This window comes from Homo sapiens, chromosome 10, assembly GCF_000001405.40.
Source record: "Homo sapiens chromosome 10, GRCh38.p14 Primary Assembly".
Lineage (NCBI taxonomy): Eukaryota > Metazoa > Chordata > Mammalia > Primates > Hominidae > Homo > Homo sapiens.
In genome coordinates this window covers 10,565,573-10,587,884 of record NC_000010.11, presented here as the reverse complement: position 1 = coordinate 10,587,884, position 22,312 = coordinate 10,565,573, and the positions used below count along the sequence as shown (strand labels likewise).

Sequence of the window (22,312 nt, the reverse complement as noted above, 5' to 3'; positions counted from 1 at the left end):
TGGGATCTTGCTCACCAAGCCCACAGAGCCATAAGCTAGTTTTACACAGTAGTCAAGCCCTCATTTCTCCTCTTGAATTTGGCTAAGTGAGCTTCTTTAGTAGTAAAATTACCAGGGGAATTCAAACAAAGAGCAAGGAAAGAGTTGAGCTGGAATTCTCAGAATGCAATTCTAGGGCTAACGTGGATAGTTTTGGTATTTCCTGCTCCTAGGACTTGTCTTGAAAAGGGACAAGGACAGATAGATCTCTACAATTTACTTACAAACAAACAACAAAAAAAGGATTTTATGTTTATTGTTATGTTAAAGATGTTTATTTTATGTTATTCTATTTTTATGTTTATTGCTATGTGAAAGATGTTTATTTTGCCACGACCGATGAGTTAAAATAATTGGGAAGGCTTCTGAACACTTTAATTGTGTAGCAAGGACTTGCCTCTTCTGTTCCCCTGAAGTTGTCTGGCAGAGGTTTCAAGGGATCCTACCGAGATGTGCTAAGAGTGATTTCAAATGCAAATGCGTTTGGGTTCAAGTAGGAAAATATATAGGAGTGAAATGAGTGAAGCAGGTTGGTTATCATTCAATGGAGCAAGTGGATTATGCATGTCCTATCGACATTTTGTTGCATGTAATTTTTGATAAATCCCCATGCGGGCTACACAATATGTGGACTCTGCCCAAGGGTGGTCTGTTGCTTTCTCCTTCTACTTGGTGATGTGAACTCCCTTTCTTTCCTTTTTCTCTCCCTTCACCAAATAGTAGCATGACAAAGTGGTTAAAGACACGGATACTAGGACAAACCCTCTCTGGGCCTCAGTTTTGATCATTTCTAAAGGGGCACCTCTGGTTCTGCTCATGTTTTGTACTTTGTTTGCAGAAACCAGCCTAGCAACCTCTTTCTTCCAAAGGCCTTCTCCCTGTACCCTGCATCAATCCACTGGCATGTTTAGGTCTTAGACATTCAGAGCAGGAAGAAACATTAAAGGCCACTATGTGTTCTAGCTGCCGTATACAATCCACCTGGTTCCTCCTGACTGTAAGAACCACCAGGAAAACGTGTTCAAAATACACATTAATGGGCCACACTTCTTAGAAATTCTGATTTAGTAATGCTGGAGATGGGTTCTGAGATCTGTATTTTAGCAAATTCTAGTGTATATTCAGGTTAGGAACCCAATGATCAAACTGATGATTCTAATTTCAAGGAAAAAAAATTACGTGGTGTGCCCAGGTTCACCCAGGTAGTGAGCATGATTAGGTTGGAACTCAGCATTGCAGGCTTCCAGCAGTTTTCCCACTACACGGCATAGCTTCCCTTGAACTTTCCAAAATGACAAGCTTCAAAGGGGAAAATGACACACTTTTTCATGAACATCTTTTTAATTTGTAAATGACATTAATTGTAGGATGTAAGTCTCAGATTTAAGGACTAGGGTATGTGTTTCAAATCAATGCATACAGAAGAGCACGCAAATGCAAACATCTTGATTTCACCCAAGCAATCTCTGAAACATGTAAGTTTCATTTGGCCTGAATTGGAGCAGTCTCCTAGAGGGTCAAACATGGCCTTTTTGTTATTCCAGGATATTCCAGAGAAAAAAGAAAAAAATTAAAAAATAGATGGTAACCAGATTTTGAGAATAGAAACCTATTTTCCCTGTTGCAAGTTATTGTCTCAAGGGAGAAAGGGAATAAGTGTAAAGCAAGCCTATTTCAGGAAAAGATTAAACAAAGACAGGCCCTGCCTCAGAGTTGTGAGAGTAAAAGCATTTGCAGTGGTGCAGCTTGAAAGCATGCCTTATTTTATTAGCATCCACTTCTCTTCTGAAAGGCTAATTGTAAAATTTATAGAGCTAATTATCTCTCCAGATTAATATTTATGAACATACAATAGTAAATGTGAGTTGCAAGTGTTGTATTAAGCATTGGCTTTTCTTTTCTCTCTTCACACATACAAGCAAACAACAGATATCTCAAGGTGATGTTAATATTCTCTCTACAATGTATGTAAACAGTCATGCTAAATTTTTCTTCCCAGTTGCTGCAAATTGGTATTTACCCAGCAACTGAAAACTATTTTTAACAGTTAATACTCTTGAAATGTATTGGGATCCTTCCGCAATATGACTGAGAACTTGGAAAATCAATTACATAAAAGATCCCCTAATCAAACAGTGAAGAGAGAGACTTCTCTTTATTGACTCATTTAAACTACATTTTATTCTTATATGACAAAGGGAGCGTAATCAAAAACACTTTATTGTTCTTCCTGCACTTGGAATATGGAGCAAATGCACCTTTATTTCCAAAAACAGAATAAGGTTAAATGTTGCACAAATACTGCACTTCCACACAAATCCTAGTGTGTTCATTCTAACACAATCAGCTGAAACCCCAACTTTTGTGTATAAATCTTAGCACTTAGCTGGTTCTCCTATCCATATACATACATCATGTAGTTTCCTTTCTCCATGACCCAAGGTAGAGAAAGGTGTACAGAGGACAGAAGGGAAAGATAACGGAAGCCAAGTTTGCTGACAAATGAATGGCTGTGGGCCAGTCCTGGAACTCTGTGTTTTAGTTTTCTTGTCCGCAGACTTAGGGGTATTTTGCTCTATTGAGAATTCCCAATCAGGGATTTATGGTTTGGCAAGAAGACAATGGATGAGTTTTGGGAATTCTCTAACCCTCCACCTCTAAAACCTCGTATGAATTGATTATACATGAATTAGTAGGAGCATCTTACTGAGAATATTCATTTGCTTCCAGCCATTCTCAAAGGGTTTCAAAACCTCAGAAAGGTTAAGGGCTATTTTACTAGATGACCTCCAAGATCCCTTCCTGTTAAAATTCTCTTTAATTCTTGCTATATCCTTGCTGTAATTTTGCTTTAGTGATCCACCCTTTCTTCTGTGCAAATCAAACTTACTTCTCTCAAAATTTCCTCCTTCTTAGACTTTAGAACTGCCCTGGTTCAACATCGTAGCCTCCAGCCACATGGGGCTATGTAAATTTAAATTAACACTAAAACTTAAAAATTCATTTCGTTAGTCTCACAACCCACATTTGAAATGATCAACAGGCTCCTGTGACTTTCGTGTGGCTACTGCATTGGACAGCAGAGACAGGGAACTCTTTCCTCATCTCAGAAAGTTATATTAGATAACATAGCGTTAAAGACAGTGGTTCCAATGCTCTCCTTACAAGAATCGATATTGTTAGTAAGCTCCACAAGTGATTCAGATACAGTGTCTATGCATTAAACTTGGAGAAACAGGGCTGTTAAAGCAAACTAAATATGTCCTGAGGAGGACTCGGTACTTCTATATTTGAGTCCTTGTGGTTGAACTGTAACCAGCTTAATAGGCAGACAAAACTGAAAACCTAACTTAGTAGTATGTACCTGTAACAATAGCTAAGTCTTGGCCAATGCCAGCGGCCACACTTCAACCATTCATACACTGCTGAGTGTTCAAACTGTGTGCAAATAAGGCATACGCCCAGCTGTAACCAATCCAGCAGTTCTGTACCTCACTTCAATTTCCGTATGTCATTTCCCCTTTTATGGTCTGTAAATCTTCTTCCACTATGTAGCTGTGCTGGAGTCTCTGTGAATCTGCTATGATTCTGGGGGCTGCCTGATTCGCAAATCGTTCATTGCTCAATTAAGCTCCTTTAAATTTAATTCAGTCAAAATTTTTCTTTTATCAGGGCTAAGTCTACATATAGAAGAGGAGCTAAAGACATCCTGACCTCTTATTTCTTGCTTGTTTTTAGGTAGGTGGTGATAACCGTGTTATCACAGACCTGCTAATCGCTCTATCAACATCCTAAGTCTCTATTCAGGGGAGTAGACAGCCTTAGCCCCCTACGGTCTTGGGGTTGGAAGGCATCTTTGAGGCTATATAGTCCACTCATTTGCCGCTTGGATCCTTTTTAGACACCTTTCCAACCTAGTGCTCTTGGACTACATACTCTAACAGGAACAGTGATGGAGACAAAACTCTCAAGGTTGCACATTTGATCTTATAAAAGCCCCAGTTACACCCTCATCTTTCCTTAGGTTGAAACATCTCCTGGTATCTTCCACTCCTGGGTTCCAGTTTTGTGTGATCACAGCTCATTTCTGACTTTGGGTGTGTGAGGATAGTGCCAGTCTCGGTCTTTCTTTCCTAGGTGTCACATTCTGTAAGTATATTCTACAGAAGGAAAGGGCTTTTGGAAAAGAATAAACTCTGGTGAGCTGCCTTGGGTGTGAGAGGAAAGAAACTGATTTCCAGTCCTGCCCCGGCAACCTGGTCTGAAGCTTTACTGGGAGAAATGACTGTCTCCTCAGCTAGAGCAAAATACAGGCAGCAACTTCAGGCTAACCCTAGAGGACCCATAGATTTTTGCATTAAAATGGTTTTGAAGCTTTGGGGCATTGAGAGACCACTTCCTTGGTACAAAATATTGTTTTTGCCAACAGCACAGGTAAGCCTGAATTACTTTCCCCATGGGGCTCATGGACAATGTAGGTGAGAACAGAAAAATATGTGAGGGATAAATCATGAGTAACTAGAAAATGCCCTGAGGACACATAGACATAAAGAAGGACAAACCTGATAAACTGTCAAATCCTGCAGTTATAAAAGTGGAGAAGAGCAGATAAATAAATTCCAGGTGTTGATGGGACCTCATTGGTACCCTTGGTTTGGTGATTCTAGAGACAAACTGTTACATATCAATCATAATCCTCTTTCACATAGTTGCACTGCAAGGCCTTCGAATATTTGAAGACAGCTTTCATTATCCCCTATGTCTTTCTTCTTTAGGTTTAAGTCTATACTATTTCTTCCATCTTTCTTTATGCTACGTGGTCTTGAAATTGTTCATTATCTACTGCACAGATTCCAGCTTGTCCAACTCCTCTTAAATTGAGAAGTCCAAGACTGAATGTTTTATTCCAGATGTGAGTTGACTGCCCTTGAATAGAAAGAAACCATCACTTCCTTCTTTCTAAATTCTACACAGTATTTGTATTAATGCAAATTTGAGATTTTACCACTTTTTTCATTGAAAGCAAAGACTGGCAGAATACAGAAGAAGGTCATGACCTGGGAGCTCCAATTCTTCCCTTTATTTTACCTTATTTGTATCATATTTTTACGCTTTTAGGGAAAAACACCATGAAATAAAAGCAGCTCCCTAGACCAGCTAGTATAGCTCAGAGAATATGAAGAGTACTCAACAATGCTTATTGATTGCTTGAAAGTCTGAGAAAGAATATGCAGGACTGAGGAAATTACTCATTACATGCAATAACAAGGTTGTTAACTGGAATTGGAAAGGATTGGGAGAGGTGGTTGGTAAAAATAAAAAATCTAGATAATGAACCATTTGTTCAATTATAAAGTGAGAAGCCTTGACTCTATAATCGCTAAGTTCCCTTCTTATCCTTAACTTATATATTTCTATGAAAAAATATAATCTCGGAAAACTATCTCAGGCATTAGCCTTTCTGATATCCCAGGTAGACAGGAATATGAGATCATCACCAAGGACCCATATCCAAAAGGTATGTAACAATGGATTTCATCAATGTATTTAAATTTTGAAAAAGAACATTTAAAATGTTGTAAGGGGCTTGCTATAAAAATACTGACATAAACTAGTTAAAATATCCCCTGAGCAGGGATTCACAAGTGCGGGCCAGTATACAGGAAAATTCGGTCAAGTGGATAGAAAGTATGATAGGAAAAGGTCCTTAGTGAGATTATATACAGTCAGACAAATTTTCACAGGAACAAGGACATCTTGGAAATCTTGCTCCGGCTAGACAGGATATGTGGATATGTGACCCCCCACCCTTTTTTTTTAGATGGAATCTTGCTCTGTTGCCCAGACTGGAGTGCAGTGGCACGATCTCAGCTCACTGCAACCTGTGCCTCCTGGGTTCAAGCAATTCTCTTGCCTCAGCTTCCTGAGTAGCTGGGATTACAGGCACCCACCACCATGCCCAACTAATTTTTGTATTTTTAGTAGACATCGGGTTTCACCATGTTGGCCAGGCTGTTCTCAAACACCTGACCTCGTGATCAGCCCACCTTGGCCTCCCAAAGTGCTGGGATTACAGGCGTGAACCACCGCGCCTGGCCTATGTGACCCTTTTAATCTTAATGTAAGTATTTGTGGATATCTTAATGGTTACCAAATCATCACATTAGTTATTTGATTTTCAAAATAATTTGGAGCTGGCTTTGTAGAATGAGTCTCTGGATTAGTTTGTTTCCTGCTCAATCCTCCTTCTTGTTGGAGCCTCATGTGACTACCCTGGTTTGCCTGAATGTGAGAGGGAGACAGTGTGCTGTTTTTCTGTTACTTGTGTTGGTGTGTCAGCTTTCCTGAGTACTACTGACACAATCTCCACCCTGCCAGAGCGTTCTCCTCATCTCTTATTTGGACTGTCATCTCCTATTTGCAATGGTCAATCCAAGTTCTAGCACTCTGGACTTCCCCATAAAGATACCCTCTTGAAAGCAAAATGGATCAAAATCGGCAGTTTTCAACTTAGCTTTCATAGATTGCTCCTTGACTCAAACAATCAGCTATTTCTAAAATTAAATATAGAAATTTTAGCTAAAGGTTGTACTTAAACTAATATCTGGGGAGCAACTAGTAGCAAATTGAATGAATAGGACCACATCTTTTGTTCAGTTGTGAATACTACTCATTTGTTAGCTTGTAAACAACACATATATTTCACAACAATTATTATGTGCAAACACTGACATCCTATCCTTTTCAGGAGATTCCAAATATGTGCAATTCACCAACATTTAAAACACAAAAACACATTATCTCTGACATACAGGCAATAATGACTATGGAGTGGAATTGTGATCCAAATAGATCTATTTTTCTATAATTGTAACCTTTTCATGGACAAGAAAGAGAAATTTATAAATGTAAATCATTCCTTACCACTCACACTATATTTTCAGGTAATTCTATTAGCTTCTTTAGAGTTTTTACAGTCACTAAGAGATCAATTCACCCATTGACTCAACCATACAGTAAATATTTATTGATCCAATGTAATACAGTTTGTTAAGCCACTTTGATTCCCTTTTCTCTGATTCTCAGGAGACAGAACTGCCAAGAGGAGAAAGCTTGAAATGGAAATACAATGATCTAGATTCTATTTTCTCTAATGTTTCGTAATCTATGTTATGTATTAGTTTCTTAAAATCATAATTAAAGAACTGCCAGGAACTTTCAAAATTGTGGGTTTCAATCATTCTGTTTTAAATATGAAGAAACTGAGGCCCAGAAAAATGAAGGAGCTTGCCGAAGGTCACACAGTTGGTTAGTGCCGGGTCAGAATGCTTAGCCAGTGGTCTTGGTAAACCATACTAACATTTAAGGGTGCGAACAGGAACAGGTTGTGAGCTTAGAAGAGTAAAAAAAGGATTTCTTATAGTCATTCCTGGGTCAATCTATGGAAGAAATAGAATCTGGAGACTTCTTTTCAGTGAACAATTCTAGATGCCAGCATGGTTAAGAGATTAATAGCAAAGTTTAATAAACTCTCTCTTGCAAAGTGCACTTATGAATTGGGGGAGACAATAGATTCCCTGCCCTAGTTTCTCTTTTCTTCTAAAGGTTGTACTTTAGAAGGTTGCCCCCACCTTAATTAATCCAGGAGTGATTATAAGCTTTTTGAATGGCTTGACCTTTCCAACTCATGGTCTCATTTTAGTGTTCATATGAAAACATATTTTGTAATATATTATTTTAAGGGAAAAACTTTCTTTAAATACATTTTCCTTGCATCATCACTATTATTACTGTGTAGAAGGAGAAGATAATTTATGGTAATCTTTTTTGATGTGTTCTTGAATTTCCACATCAGTCCAGATCTCACACTCTTTGTTATCGGTTCCTGTAAGTCAAATCTCATTTTTTTCCCCATCAGCATTCTATTTATAAACTATTACATCAATACCTCATTGTGTTTTGGGAGTGTGGGAGTGTGTGCATGTGTGTGTGTGTGTGTATTTATTTTTACTCTGCAGCTCCTACTGAAAAACAATTTTGTTTCTTTCTCAGATATTTGGAACTTTTATGTATTCCATAATATCAGATAGTTAATATTTCCTAGAGGAGATGAAACATTTCTTCAATGTATTTTGAAGATAACAATATGATACCAAAAGATGAATATTTTTACTATTCCGGGGTAACATTGCCTCTATTATGGGACTGTCTATGTTTATCCTCTTGCTGTATTTTCAAGGTGGAGGGAAGACTTTATTTTAGGCCACAAATATGTATTTATACATCTGTATCTATCTACATCCTAACTCCAATGGTATATAACAGCCCGGGGGTCTAAGGTCAATAACAAATGCAGCTCAGTGAGAAATGTGTCTTAAACAATGAGTTAACAACCTATATTAATCCTTGAGGAACTACCCAGACCAAGCCAAAGTGAGGCATCCAGTTCCTATTTATCACAGAGCCTCCATCCCCTGGAGAAAGGCAATGAGTACCATGAAGACCATCTAAAGACAGTAAGATGCTCATACATACATGTTTCTCCATGAACGTCAATCCTGCATTTTCAGCCTTCTTAAACTCCAAGATGCAAATCCATAATACTCCCCTGAAGCAGTTCATTGGATTTGAATTTTACTATGTCTCCATTTGGAAGTTCCAAGAAATCAGAACTTGAAAGGAACTTGTTATTCCTTTACAGCACTTACTTGTTCTTTTATACCCTTTTTTCTTCAATCATTAATTAAACAAAACATGTTCCTGTGTAGAGAACAAAAACATGTTTTGTTACTAAACAAAAACAGACACTATGTGTAGAGGACTATCAGGCTTTGGAAGATTTCAAAAGCAGGAAATAGAGTTCCTATGTCTTAGATCAGGAGATTATGATGTAGTTGAAGAGTCCCAACATGCATGAGCTAAGCAGCTAATAGATGTGAAAGTTAATATTAGCATCAACAACCTAAAGTGTATCAAGCATTGGGATGATTGGTGCAAAAGGAAATTAGTCTTAGCTCTTAGAGGAAGAATTAACGTCAAGATGTGAATGCCTAGAGAGGGTGTGGACCCATGGAAGGACTGAATCTACCCATAAAACACAAGCAACTAAGTCATCCTGTTGAAAAGTGCCAACGTAATGAAAGTAGAATATCCTGAGAAATGCAGGTTTGGGTAAGATAATTAGATTTTGGGGCTGGGGTGTGCTTGCATGGTCCTTTTCCCACTTTGGAAATCAGTATACCAATATGTTCTCCCTTTAGATTATTCCTCTGATATACGATAACAGAGGACCTCATGAAAGCTGATATACAAAAATTAATTCAAGATGGATTAAAGACTTACATGTTAGACCTAAAACCATAAAAACCCTAGAAGAAAACCTAAGCAACACCATTCAGGACATAGGCATGGGCAAGGACTTCATGTCTAAAACACCAAAAGCAGTGGCAACAAAAGCCAAAATTGACAAACAGGATCTAATTAAACTAAAGAGCTTCTCCACAGCAAAAGAAACCACCATCAGAGTGAACAGGCAACCTATAGAATGGGAGAAAATTTTTGCAACCTAGTCATCTGACAAAGGGCTAATATCTAGAATCTACAATGAACTCAAACAAATTTACAAGAAAAAAACAAACAACCCCATCAAAAAGTGGGTGAAGGATATGAACAGACACTTCTCAAAAGAAGACATTTATGCAGCCAAAAGACACATGAAAAAAATGCTCATCATCACTGGCCATCAGAGAAATGCAAATCAAAACCACAATGAGATACCATCTCACACCAGTTAGAATGGCGATCATTAAAAAGTCAGGAAACAACAGGTGTTGGAGAGGATGTGGAGAAACAGGAACACTTTTACACTGTTGGTGGGATTGTAAACTAGTTCAACCATTGCGGAAGTCGGTGTGGCGATTCCTCAGGGATCTAGAACTAGAAATACCATTTGACCCAGCCATCCCATTACTGGGTATATACCCAAAGGACTATAAATCATGCTGCTATAAAGACACATGCACACGTATGTTTATTGTGGCAATATTCACAATAGCAAAGACTTGGAACCAACCCAAATGTCCAAGAATGATAGACTGGATTAAGAAAATGTGGCACATATACACCATGGAATACTATGCAGCCATAAAAAATGATGAGTTCATGTCCTTTATAGGGACATGGATGAAGCTGGAAACCATCATTCTCAGCAAACTATCGCAAGGACAAAAAAACAAACACCGCATGTTCTCACTCATAGGTGGGAATTGAACAATGAGAACACGTGGACACAGGAAGGGGAACATCACACACTGGGGACTGTTGTGGGGTGGGGTGAGGGGGGAGGGATAGCATTAGGAGATATACCTAATGCTAAATGATGAGTTAATGGCACAGGTATACATATGTAACAAACCTGCACATTGTGCACATGTACCCTAAAACTTAAAGTATAATAATAATAATAATAATAATAATAATAAAAAGATTTGTTGAGAACAACTGGACCCAAATTCCACAATAAGAACATACAGATTTTCAGTCCTGTCAGGAACTGAAGAGGTGATCAAGTGATTTATCAACCTTTGATTCCTCCCTACTAAGGAACAAATAACCCATTGCCATGCAGGCTCTGTCAACAGCTCTTGTCCAGTCTAGATTTATTTCTGTGTGTCCTGAGATATTCTCATCATTTACTCTGGGCGCAATGCAGTTTGCTTCTTGCTTCAGGGCCTCTATCTTAGTCTTTGCTTATGGACTTTCTCAAGATACAAATTCTGCCTGTCAGTTTCTCTGCTGTGCTCTGAGCCCACTGTTTTGATGGCTGCATTCCCCTTTGTGTGATTAGTGTTTTCCTTCTTGCTGAGGTAATGGGAGTGAATATGTAAACCCCTCTGGGGGTAGAATAGCCTCTTCCTCTTTGGTTTCCTAAATGAAAGCAAATCTCTCACTCACATAGGCCTCAGGAGCACCACATTTCCAGTACAACACAATTAAACAACACACTGGTAAGAGTAACTCCAGTGTTAATTTACTTTATACCAGTTACTCTGGATAATGTACCACACACTGTACAAGTGAATGGGAAGTGGATGAAGAATGAGAGAAGATCAGAGTGGATAGAATTGGGGGAGGCAGAGAAAGCACCCTGAAGGAGGTGAAGGGGCTAGGTTTTATAGTTTGGTAGAGAGATGGTTAACGGATATTTGAAATAAGAAAAATAGCATGGGTAAAAGTACAATGGTGGGAATACACAAGTCATCCCAGAAAAATTAAGGCAATTGCACAAAAGTAGAGTTATTGTTGTGGTACCATCGGGTTCTTAATGCAAATTAAAGTAGACTCTTCTTTCTTTACCTATACACTGGGAAGTCTTCCTATATTAACTAATACGTTAGAAGCATTGCAAGCCTTCTCTGGGGTTGATTTCTTCTTTCATGAGCTCATCAAATGTCAAAATATGTGCCTGAGAAAGCTAGTATTTATGCTTATTGGACTGCATCTTATTTAAAAAAAAGGACTCCAAAATTAATCTAGGCAGACTTTTATTTCATATTAACTACAAACTTTAGACAGGGGTGATGGGTAGGAAGCTCTCAGCTCTTCGCAGTTCTTTGACCCTTAGTCCTTGAACTTCTTTTATACCCGTAGCCCCCCAATTTGGTCTCTAGCTCCCTAGAGGGATGAGGGAGAACTCTTGCAGTTCTGGCCATGCGAGAAACAGAAAAGATCTGGGGCTAAAGGCCCAGCCAGATAAAGCAGCAGCCAGATGCCTGAAATGTTCTGCCTTACAGCTTCTGCAAAAGATTCTGAATGCAAAACCTTTTATGTTAGTCCATGAGACTGCTAAAATGTCTACTTTGATTTGATTTAAAATCTACTTTGATATGATTTACTCCTCCGAATCCAGAGATAATGTCTGCTCATGATTCAGGACCTTGCCAGGGGTCAAGGATTCCTCTACTGTGATCTTGAAAGATGTTTTTTTCAGTTGTTGAATTTCACTTAGAGTGTCCAACACTCTGAACATGAACCAATAGTAAATTTCCATTTTTCCCCTAATTTATATGTTACTTGAGTGAATATCTTGTTCTTTGTAACACTTCTAGCTTTTATCATCTATTCTGCACCAAACCTGTTTTAATTGGATGTGTTGACCTAAAAATTTAAACATATGACCTCAGTAGCCAGAGGGAAGCTAAGCTTTCAATTCTTGGAACAGACTGCACGTATTTGATGTTAGGTCAGACAGAGAAACCACATGGTGAGAGAGTCATCTTTTTACGTGATGGTGGAAAAGGTTATGAATTGGGAAAACAAAAAACTCAAACCCTGACATGTTGCATAAAACACACTCAACAAAAGAAAAACCTGTCTGGATTAGGTATTTTGCAAATGAACATTTCTTACATTTCTAGGAGAATAAATGTCCAACATAGAGCAAGTTTTGTGAGTACTTTATATAAAACGTCAATTGACAAAGGACAACTTTGGTTGATAAAGGAAAACAGGTATAACCTAAATGCAAAGCATGGATTAGCTCAGGCTCCTTCCATGAGTTAGACCTTATTCTACATCTAACACCCTTCAAGAATGGGTTAATAAGTAATGTGTTCTCTTGTGTTCTTTCATTCACGTTTTGGTTGCTATTATTAGAAGAAACAGGCTCAGTGAAACACCATATGTATAGAATGGTGATCAATTGTGCTTATATTTATTATTAAATTGTGAAGGCTGGGTTATTTTTCTTGACGTTATTAGGTATACTTAGCATTTTTAATAAGAACAACTAAATAAAAAGCCATTTGCTTGAATTTAAACATTAACATAGGTCAGGTGCGGTGGCTCACGCCTGTAATGCCAGCACTTTCGGAGGCCAAGGTGGGTAGATCACCTGAGGTCAGGAGTTCAAGACCAGCCTGGCCAACATGGTGAAACCCCATCTCTATTAAAAAAAAAAAAAAAAAAAAAAAAACCAGGCATGGTGGCGGGCATCTGTAATCCTAGCTAGTCAGGAGGCTGAGGCAGAAGAATTGCTTGAACCCAGGAGGCAGAGGTTGCAGTGAGCAAAGATCATGCCACTGCACTCCAGCCTGGGTGACAAGAGCAAAACTCCATCTCAAAAACAAAAACAAAACAAAAACAAAAAAACATTAACATACATACTGCCAGCTACAATGTTTGGGTTGTTTGTACATATTATACTTCACAAATACGAGAATACTTATTTTGAACAAAAACAGCTTTCTTTCCTGTTTGTCACTATTTTCATGAGAAGACCCATACTTTTTAAAATTAAATGGAACTGTTGTTAAACCTCTTTGAATTAAAAATTTATCCCTTGTTACCAGCTCACCACTAATCATTAGTAACAAGTTGGTTGGTGGATCATAACACGTTTCTCATTAGCTTTTTATTCTTCGCTTTTTTCCTTAACCTGTGGAGTAGGCAATTATCTCTTCCTGCCCAGCACGGCATGGCCCCCACTAGCAGAATTTCATGCCTTCAGTGTGCTTCTTGCACAATCCTTCTTCTACTTTGTCATCAGTTGGTCCTACTGATGACAGTCCTACTGCCTTCACTATATCATTTACTTGCTCAAAAGCCTTCTATTGGTCTGCAGTGCCTGTGGGATAATGTCCTTGGCTTTCAAAGTTCTTTACCATCTAATCTTTATTTCCCATGATTCCCATATAACCCTCCTTTATTTAAGAGAGTGGATTCTATGAAATATGTCTTCTGAGTCCCAAATTTGTATTCAGGCCATTTTTAACTTCCCAACTTCTCTTTAAAATACAAAATTTCTGAGGTCCTCTGTGACCAGATCAGATCAAATTGATCCTTCTTGACTATGAACATGCAGAACAATTTTTTTTAAACCAGAAGAATACTTCTCTTTGGCATTTAATACTTATTGGCTTTTACAGAATAATATATAAATAAAAATATGCAAATAAAAACTCTGGAAAGTAGGGGCTTGGTCTTATAGTTCTTTGCATCCCTGTGACACTGAAATCATCACCTTAAATGTGTGAGGATCTCAATGAATATTTTTGATTGACTATTTTTAATCCCATAAAAGCTGAAACGATTATGTTGAAACTTGATCAAATAAAATATTCTATTTCTCATTTAATCTGAGCTTTATTTACAGATTTTAATTTACAGAAAAATAGATGTAAGATGTAAGATGTTTGCATATTTTATTTGTAATCAATAAAAACAATAAAAATGTAAGTACATGTGCTCACAAGATCTATTTCCTGCTCTTATTTCATTGAACTGGAAACTTCTTGAGAAAAAGAATTCTGCATCTCTTTGGTACAGATTACCACCCCAAAGAAAAACATATAGTCCCACTGAACCCTTGGACACACAACGGAATTGAAAGTCATTGCAGTCAAGGTATAAAAACTCTTCTATAAAGGCAAAGATTTCATGATGAAATCACCAAAACGATTGCAGCAAAAGCAAAAATTGACAAATAGGATCTAATTAAAGAGCTTCTGCACAGCCAAAGAAACTATCCTCAGAGTGAACAGGCAACCAGCAGAGTGGGAGAAAACTTTTACAATCTATCCATCTGACAAAGGTTTAATATCCAGAATCTACAAGGAACTTAAACAAAGTTACAAGAAATAAAAACAAACAACCCCATTAGAAAGTGGGCAAAGGACATGAACCTACACTTCTCAAAAGACATTCATGCAGCCAACAAACACATTATAAAAAGCTCAACAACACTGATTATTAGAGAAATTCAAATCAAAACCACAATGAGCTACACCAGTCAGAATGGCAATTATTAAAAAGTCAAGAAACAACAGATCCTGGCAAAGGCTGTGGGGAAATAGGAATGCTTTTACACTGCTGGTGGGAATGTAAATTAGTTCAACCATTGTGGAAGATGGTGTGGCGATTCCTCAAAGATCTAAAACCAGAAATACCATTTGACCCAGCAATCCCATTACCAGGTATATACCCAAAAGAATATAAATCATTCTATTACAAAGATACATGTACACGTATGTTCATTGCAGCACTATTCACAATAGAAAAGACATGGAAACAACCCAAATGCCCATCATCGATGATAGACCGGATAAAGAAAATATGGTACATATACACCATGGAATATTATGCAGCCATAAAAAGGAATGAGATCATGTTCTTTGCAGGGACACAGTTGGAGCTGGGAGGCATTATCCTCATTAAACTAATGCAGGAACAGAAAACCAAACACCACATGTTCTCACTTATAAGTGGGAGCTGAACAATGAGAACACATAGACACAGGGAGTGGAACAACACACATTGGGGCTTGTCAGGGGAGGTGGGGTGGGGGAGGGAGAGCATTAGGGAAAATAGCTGATGCATGCTGGTTTAATACCAAGGTGATGGGTTGATAGGTGCGGCAAACCACCATGGCACACGTTTACCTATGTAACAAAACTGCATCTCCTGTACACATGCCCTGGAACTTAAAATAAAAAGAAAAATTAAAAAAAAAAGAAAAAACCAACCGAACAAAAACTGTTTCATGAATCCTGAGATTAAGTCAGAAGATTTAATACAGAGATATCCAGAAAGAACAAGGGACCTCAATAGAAAATATACTGCTCTTAATGATTAAAAAAAAAAGTCTGAATTCCCTTTATATTTAATTTAAACCTTGCAAATGGGACTTCTTAAAGAACCATTCTGCAGTGCAGGTCATGGGCCCAGACTCTCTCAGGGACTAATACCATACGTGTTGCCATTAATTAGGTGTAAAACAGAACATTACACTTTCTAAAGCTATTCTCCATGGCCACGGCCACATTCTTACAACATGCTCTGCCCCACTGAGGTGAATCCCATCAGACTGTTCTGCCTCCCTCTCTTATTGACAGCAATAAGAGTATTGCTGTGACTGATGGACTGTGTCCTCCCTCTCTTTATTTATTAAAGTCTTGGGTTCCAGACCCTCTGTCCTCTCCTCATTCCTACGCTCATCTCATCCTGAGAAATGATAGAATTCCGTCCGTGCCTATACTTCACTTCTAAATTTTTACACTCTGGCTTATCTCATGACCCACGGTCACTCCATTAGATACCCCTGAAATCTACTGCAAGAATCTGCTGTCCGACTCAGCCTTACAAGCATCCTGATAGCAATCTTTCCTTGATCTCATTAAGACCTCCTAATGATGCCCCATGTACCCTCCCAGTCATTTTTGCATTATTAACAACAGCTCAGATGCCTTCACTTTCTTTATAACTCAATTTACAACCCATGGTCGCTTTTATTATTACTGCTTGGTACAAACTGTCACCAAACTTGACTTTCTCTCCTGCTCTTGAATTCGTGTGGCAAAAGCCTATTTGCCAATACTTCAGCAGCTTAATAACTATAGGTTCTGGAGAAATATTATATTATTTGGGCGATTGGATGCACTTTATTATTTTATTACTGTCAACAGTCCATAATATTTACTATTTTAAGCAATATCTTTCTTGCAGTGCCTTCCCAGGCCAGCCAACCAGCCAAATGTGTCTGCTTTTTACTGACTGAAGTACGTTCTTTACTAATAGATTTAGTAAATGTCTGTGGATGGTAAATGCTCTAATGTCTTCAACTGTCTGAATATTTTGCTTTTCTGTCATTTTGCTAAATTCCAGTCAATCTAATTCTCGCATTTGTTTATGTTTTTTTCAGTCCTCTGATGCTGGCCTGCCATTTGCTTCTGAAAGTATTAAATTATGGCTGATGAAAAGGCCGACGGTTATGTAATTGCCTGTTTCTTTCAAGTCACCTTTCTTTTCTCTCTAGAAGCTCTTAAGATTTTAATATTAACCTTGATGTACTTTTATTTAATTACAACTCATTTCAGTGAGGCTTTGATTTTATTTAACCAGCTTAGTATTCAGAGCGCACTTTCAACCTCAAAAAAGCTACTCATCTTTTTTTTCCTGCAAAAATCTCAGAAACATGTCTTCACATATTGTTTTCCCACCATTTCCTGCATGCTCTTCTTCTGAAACTCTCTTTAGACATATGCTGAAGCTTCTTGAGCTATCTTCAACATCTCCTAACTTCTCATTCATGCTTTTAACGTTGTTATCAATGTTCCAGGTAAATTTCTCAGTACTATCTTCCCACTTGCTAATTCTCTCCTTAACTGTGCTACTCTTATATTGTGGCATCTTACATTGTGGCAAATATATACATATTTATTTATTTATATACAGATATTTTTAATTTTAGTAATTTAGTTTTAATTACTAGATTTCTAAGTGGGTCTCTTTCATATCCACCCATTTTAGCCTTTTTCTTTACATTTTAGTAATCTTTTAAAATTGGTATTATTCTTTCATTTATCTCTTTGAACATCCTAAACATTTATATAAAATTCCTTTCACCTGGGGTGAATTTGTGTTTTGCTTGTTGACTTAGATGCTGGCTTCTTGGGAATAAATATTGGTTGTTAAGTTCATCTTGAGCTGAGGTTTTCTGTTTTCTCTGTCTCTCACTTGCTTTTGGTTAATCTCAATTCATTCCTTGCCTCCACCCTGCTCCTGGGATGCACAATGTGGAACCACATCTTACAATTGTGCTTCAGGGCTCTTCAGGCCATTGACTGATCCAGGAGGTGGGTTTGACTTGGCTTCTCACCCTGAGGCATTGCTGCTCTGCTCCCCTCAATGCCCTTGTAGACCCACAGCTCCCTATATGCAAGACCTCAGGTCTCAGGTGAGCAACTGCCTCATGTTATGACACCTCAATGTGGGAGGCACTAGATTGGTTTCTCAACTACCTTTTCTTCTTCCTGTTATCTAGAGAGGTTGGGAAGCCAGTGCACTCTCTTTCAGTTATAATTTACATTCTGCCAATGAGGTATATCCATGCTAGATTTGGGAGGAAGTAAGACAGAGGCAATCTTCCTGAAGATTCTGTTTGTCTCTGCTGGGTAGCAAGGTCATAGTTCTCCTGAAGCAGTTTCTGGTGAACATTCTCCTGATGTCCAGAGTTTTCCATGACTGTGGCAGCATCTAGCAGTCTAAGACAGCATAGCTCCCAAAGCCACTGAAGTTGTGACTCCCCAGTGTCTAGTTCATGGTGTTTCAGGAGTCATTCCAAGAAGTCCACCTGGAAACTGCTTCTTCAATCCTCCCAATGATTTCTGAAAGTACTGATTCTTTGCATTGAATTCCTCTCTCTTTAAAATGTATAGGGTGCTTTTTGTTTCTTCTGCACAACCCAACTGATACACACATCTTAACCCTAGCTTCACAAATGAGCCTGGATTAAAATATATTTTATCCTTTACTGATAGGGTTTGGCTGTGTCTCCACCCAAATCTCATCTTGAATTGTAGCTCCCATAATTCCTATGTGTTGTGGGAGGGACCCCGTTGGAGATAATTAAATTATGAGGACAGTTTCCTCCATTTCCTCCATACTTTTCTCGTGGTAGTGAGTAAGTCTCATGAGATCTGATGGTTTAATAAGGGAAAATCCCTTTCTCTTGGTTCTCATTTTCTCTCTTTGCCTCCTGCCAGTTTAGACATGCCTTTGTCCTTCCCTTGCCTTCCCCCATGATTGTGAGGCCTCCCCAGCCAGATGGAACTGTGAGTCCATTAAACGTCTTTTTCTTTATAAATTACCCAGTCTCAGGTATGTCTTTATCAGCAGCAGGAAAATGGACTGATAAACTTACCAAATCCCAGAAAATTCTCAGTCATCAATGCCTGATTTTTGACCAGTAATTAGCAGCCCCCTTTCTTCCACTGCCATAGTTTTCTGCTCTGTTTCAAGTAAATGATGGTGATATCTTCTTTCTAAGATCAATCTAGCCTTTTTTCTATTTTATTTCTCCTTGCTACAGGTTGGAGGAGAAGGAATGGCCTGAAAGCATAAATTTATTACAATATTGTAACTAGAAGTCGCTTCTTTAAATTGAGTGTAGTTCAGATTTATGGCCATAGGCTCCAATAGGTACTCAAGACCACCTCTTTCAATTCCACCATACTTCCCTAGTAAACCAGCTTTTTCTTTCTCCAAATTGAGAACTTCAAAACCTTTCCCCTCTTTTTAAACCCTCCCTAACCCTCCTCCTCACTCACATTTTTCACTAAGAAAATAAAAGCCAACAAAATGAAACTCCTTTCTTTCTCTATCATTACATCCACAAACCGCCATGCCTCTGTGCAGATCTTCTTTGCTTGCCTTCCTGTTACATCCAAGAAAGGTACCAGTATTGCTGTAGGCAAAGTCAACTTCAGATCTGCACCAGATTCCATTATATCTTGGCTCCTCTAAACGAAGGGTGAGCAAACTCTTTTGGTAGAGGTCCAGATAGTAACAAAAAATGTTAGGCTCTTCGTCACAAGGACTCAAGTCTGCAGATGTGGCATGAAAGTAGCCATAGGTGATAAGCAACCAAGAGGTTATGCTTTTGTAAACTTCATTTACAAAACAGATGCTTCCTCCAATTGTAGGCAGTAATTTGCTGATCCCTGATCTGGGACCTTTCTTCTTCACTTACTTTTTTTTTTCTCCGGACTCATCCTCCCCTTCCTCTCTAATCATCTGCCTTGTAAATAATCTTACACCCATATCAAGTATCTTTTTGGAATCTTGTCCTCCTGCAGTTACCATCCCATGCTTTCAAATGGATTGTTTGCTCTCATTCTCTCAACTTCTTCATTTATTCTTTAATCCTTTCTACTTGAAAGGACTCTATTTAAAGCAGCCTTGCCTCCTTTTACTTCCTATCTTATCACCCTTTGCTTTATAGTACTTACACCCTGTAATTATTTTGTTTTTCTTTCTTCTGTGTATACCCTCTACCTTATTCCCCAGAGTGAGAGTTCCAGGAGGGTAAGGATGTGGTCAGCTTTGTTCATTGCTTAATCACTGGGTACCCTAATCATGGATTGTAGGAGTTTTGTAAATATCTGTTGAATGAATGAATGAAGGAATCCAAAATGCTGTTTTAGACCCTGTGGTATGCTGCCTAGATCTGTTCTCCAGGATTTATTTCCCCAGCTGCTGGGAGTCCTGCCAGAAGGTAGACTTTTTTGGAAGTATCTCCGCTCAAGGGGGCCACATCACCCAAAGTCATGGCCCCTTCCTGGGGAGGCCTTCATCCAGTGAAAGATCAGGGTAGGGGGTTGCTAATAACTGGTCAAGATTCAGGCATCGACGCCTGAGCATTTTCTGGGATTTTGGTATCAATGTAGGAGATATACAGGCTTGAACCCCTTTGCCTCATCTCAGGTTGACTCCGAAGGGTCACCCCACCTTAAGAGTTCCTAGTAGCCTGCTGAAGCCTCTGTTGATGCATAAAAGCTTGGCTTATTTTCCCGCCCCATTCTGCTTCTCTGCCTTCCTTCCCTGCCTTTCCCTTGGGTATTGATTCCAAGAGCACTCCCAGATAAACCTCCTATACTTGAATCTCTAGTTTAGAGCTAGCTTCCCCAGGGAACCCGACCTGTGACACTTGCTGAAGTTTAATTGATCTATAAATGGCAACATAGGATTCAAACTACCTCTACTTGAATTTTAAAGTCAATGCACTTTTCCTGGTCGGTTTGTTGGAAGTGTAACACGATTCTCTAGTTTTAAAATAAAGGCAGTTTATTTCTATTCCTTCTTCAGGTGTCTCTACCATTAAAACTGACTTAACAATAGAGGAAATGTTTAGTCACTGAATCTATTTGTATCTATTATTTAGAAGAAGTCTACCTGGAAATTTTGCTCTTATTTTATTCAGACTGTCTTTTCTTAAATGAACACTGTCCTTTTCTGCATAAACATCCAGTTCACTTTTATCTTCGCGGCAGATGTGAGCAATACTTCAATATGTATATTTATGCATATGTGGAGGTAAATATGTGTGCCTCTAAAAGCCAAATGCCATGCATGTTCTTTGGCTATAGCTTGTATAATCTGAGTAAATATAAAAATTTAAGTAGAGATCGGTGGAAGAGGCCCATTCTAGGATAGTTACTTATTTTCAAGAAGCCAAAACAATCTCTAGCAGTGTTTTGATAACATCACAATATGATAGCCTTGAAAAATCTAAAGTCTTTTGGACTCAGCATAGAATTCAGCTCTAATCTATTTACATATGTTGTGAACAAAAGATGGCAACCTGAGGGTTTATAAAAGGTGGCTGTTTCATCTTCTTTTTCTCAAAGCATATTCTCACTCATAGGTGGGAATTGAACAATGAGATCACTTGGACACAGGAAGGGGAATATCACACTCTGGGGACTGTGGTGGGGTCGGGGGAGGGGGGAGGGATAGCATTGGGAGATATACCTAATGCTAGATGACGAGTTAGTGGGTGCAGTGCACCAGCATGGCACATGTATACATATGTAACTAACCTGCACAATGTGCACATGTACCCTAAAACTTAGAGTATAATAAAAAAAAAAATTAAAAAAAAAAAAAAATCCCTAAGTGCCTTTCTGTTGTGCTATTGTGGAAGGTCCTTGCAAGAACCTAGAGCAGCACAATCACTGGCAACTGGGACACTATTTTTTTTTTCCTGCATGTTTGCTGTGGAAGTGAATGGGAAGCCCTGCAAAGTGCTGAGGTCCTTGGACCTCAGTTTGATCCCATCTAGAGAGATTATGGTTCACATTTTCCCTGGAGCCTTCTTTTAAAATGACATCTATTAAAACCTAATATGCTTATCCCTGGACTCCTAGTTCCTTGAGGGTAAAGACCATGCATGGTTCTGTTTTGTGTCCTCACGTGTTGGATAAAATCTTGCCACATTAAATACACATATAGGTTAGAATGGGTTGGGATAGAGTTCCATGTAATTTCCAAAGTTCTGTTTTATATAGCTTCTCAAGTGCAAGAAAAGGAGAAAATGATGCAAAATTAGAAGCATGTTTAATTTCTGCTAACTAAAGCATAAAGTCAAGTACGGCAACCTCCACTGCCTCATTAATTGCTGACCCTTAATTAAAGGTATCATACATCATTAAGGACTGAGCCTAAATAAAGTAAATGCAAAATTAGATAAGCATAGCTATTACCTTAATATGAAGCTAATGTAGCTCCATCTTTAATGATCACACAAATAGGCTCTCAGGCTGAAGTAACAGATATTTGCATTACCGTGCTTATTAAAAGGAAGTCTGTAAGTCCAAAATTCTTCCTTGCAGAGAAATTAAGGAACACACACAAAGTCTTCCAAAGTCTTATATATTCTTACACCAGAAGCATCCAGGAATGACCCAGAGAGTCTTCTCATGGTGGCCTTTGGACCCTC

At 38.5% G+C, this 22,312-nt stretch overlaps 1 protein-coding gene across 9 annotated transcripts in view, besides 1 other annotated feature; it reads right to left on the bottom strand.

Moving 5' to 3' along the window:
- Positions 1-22,312, bottom strand: part of CELF2 (CUGBP Elav-like family member 2) — an 874,126-nt gene that overhangs the window by 748,791 nt on the left and 103,023 nt on the right. The window lies entirely within an intron of this gene.
- Positions 3,416-3,545: a silencer, noted in NCBI's record as "silent region_2120". NCBI's record gives its function as "represses an Ori minimal core promoter by ATAC-STARR-seq in GM12878 lymphoblastoid cells {active_cell/tissue: GM12878}" and the evidence as "EXISTENCE:reporter gene assay evidence [ECO:0000049][PMID:35858748]".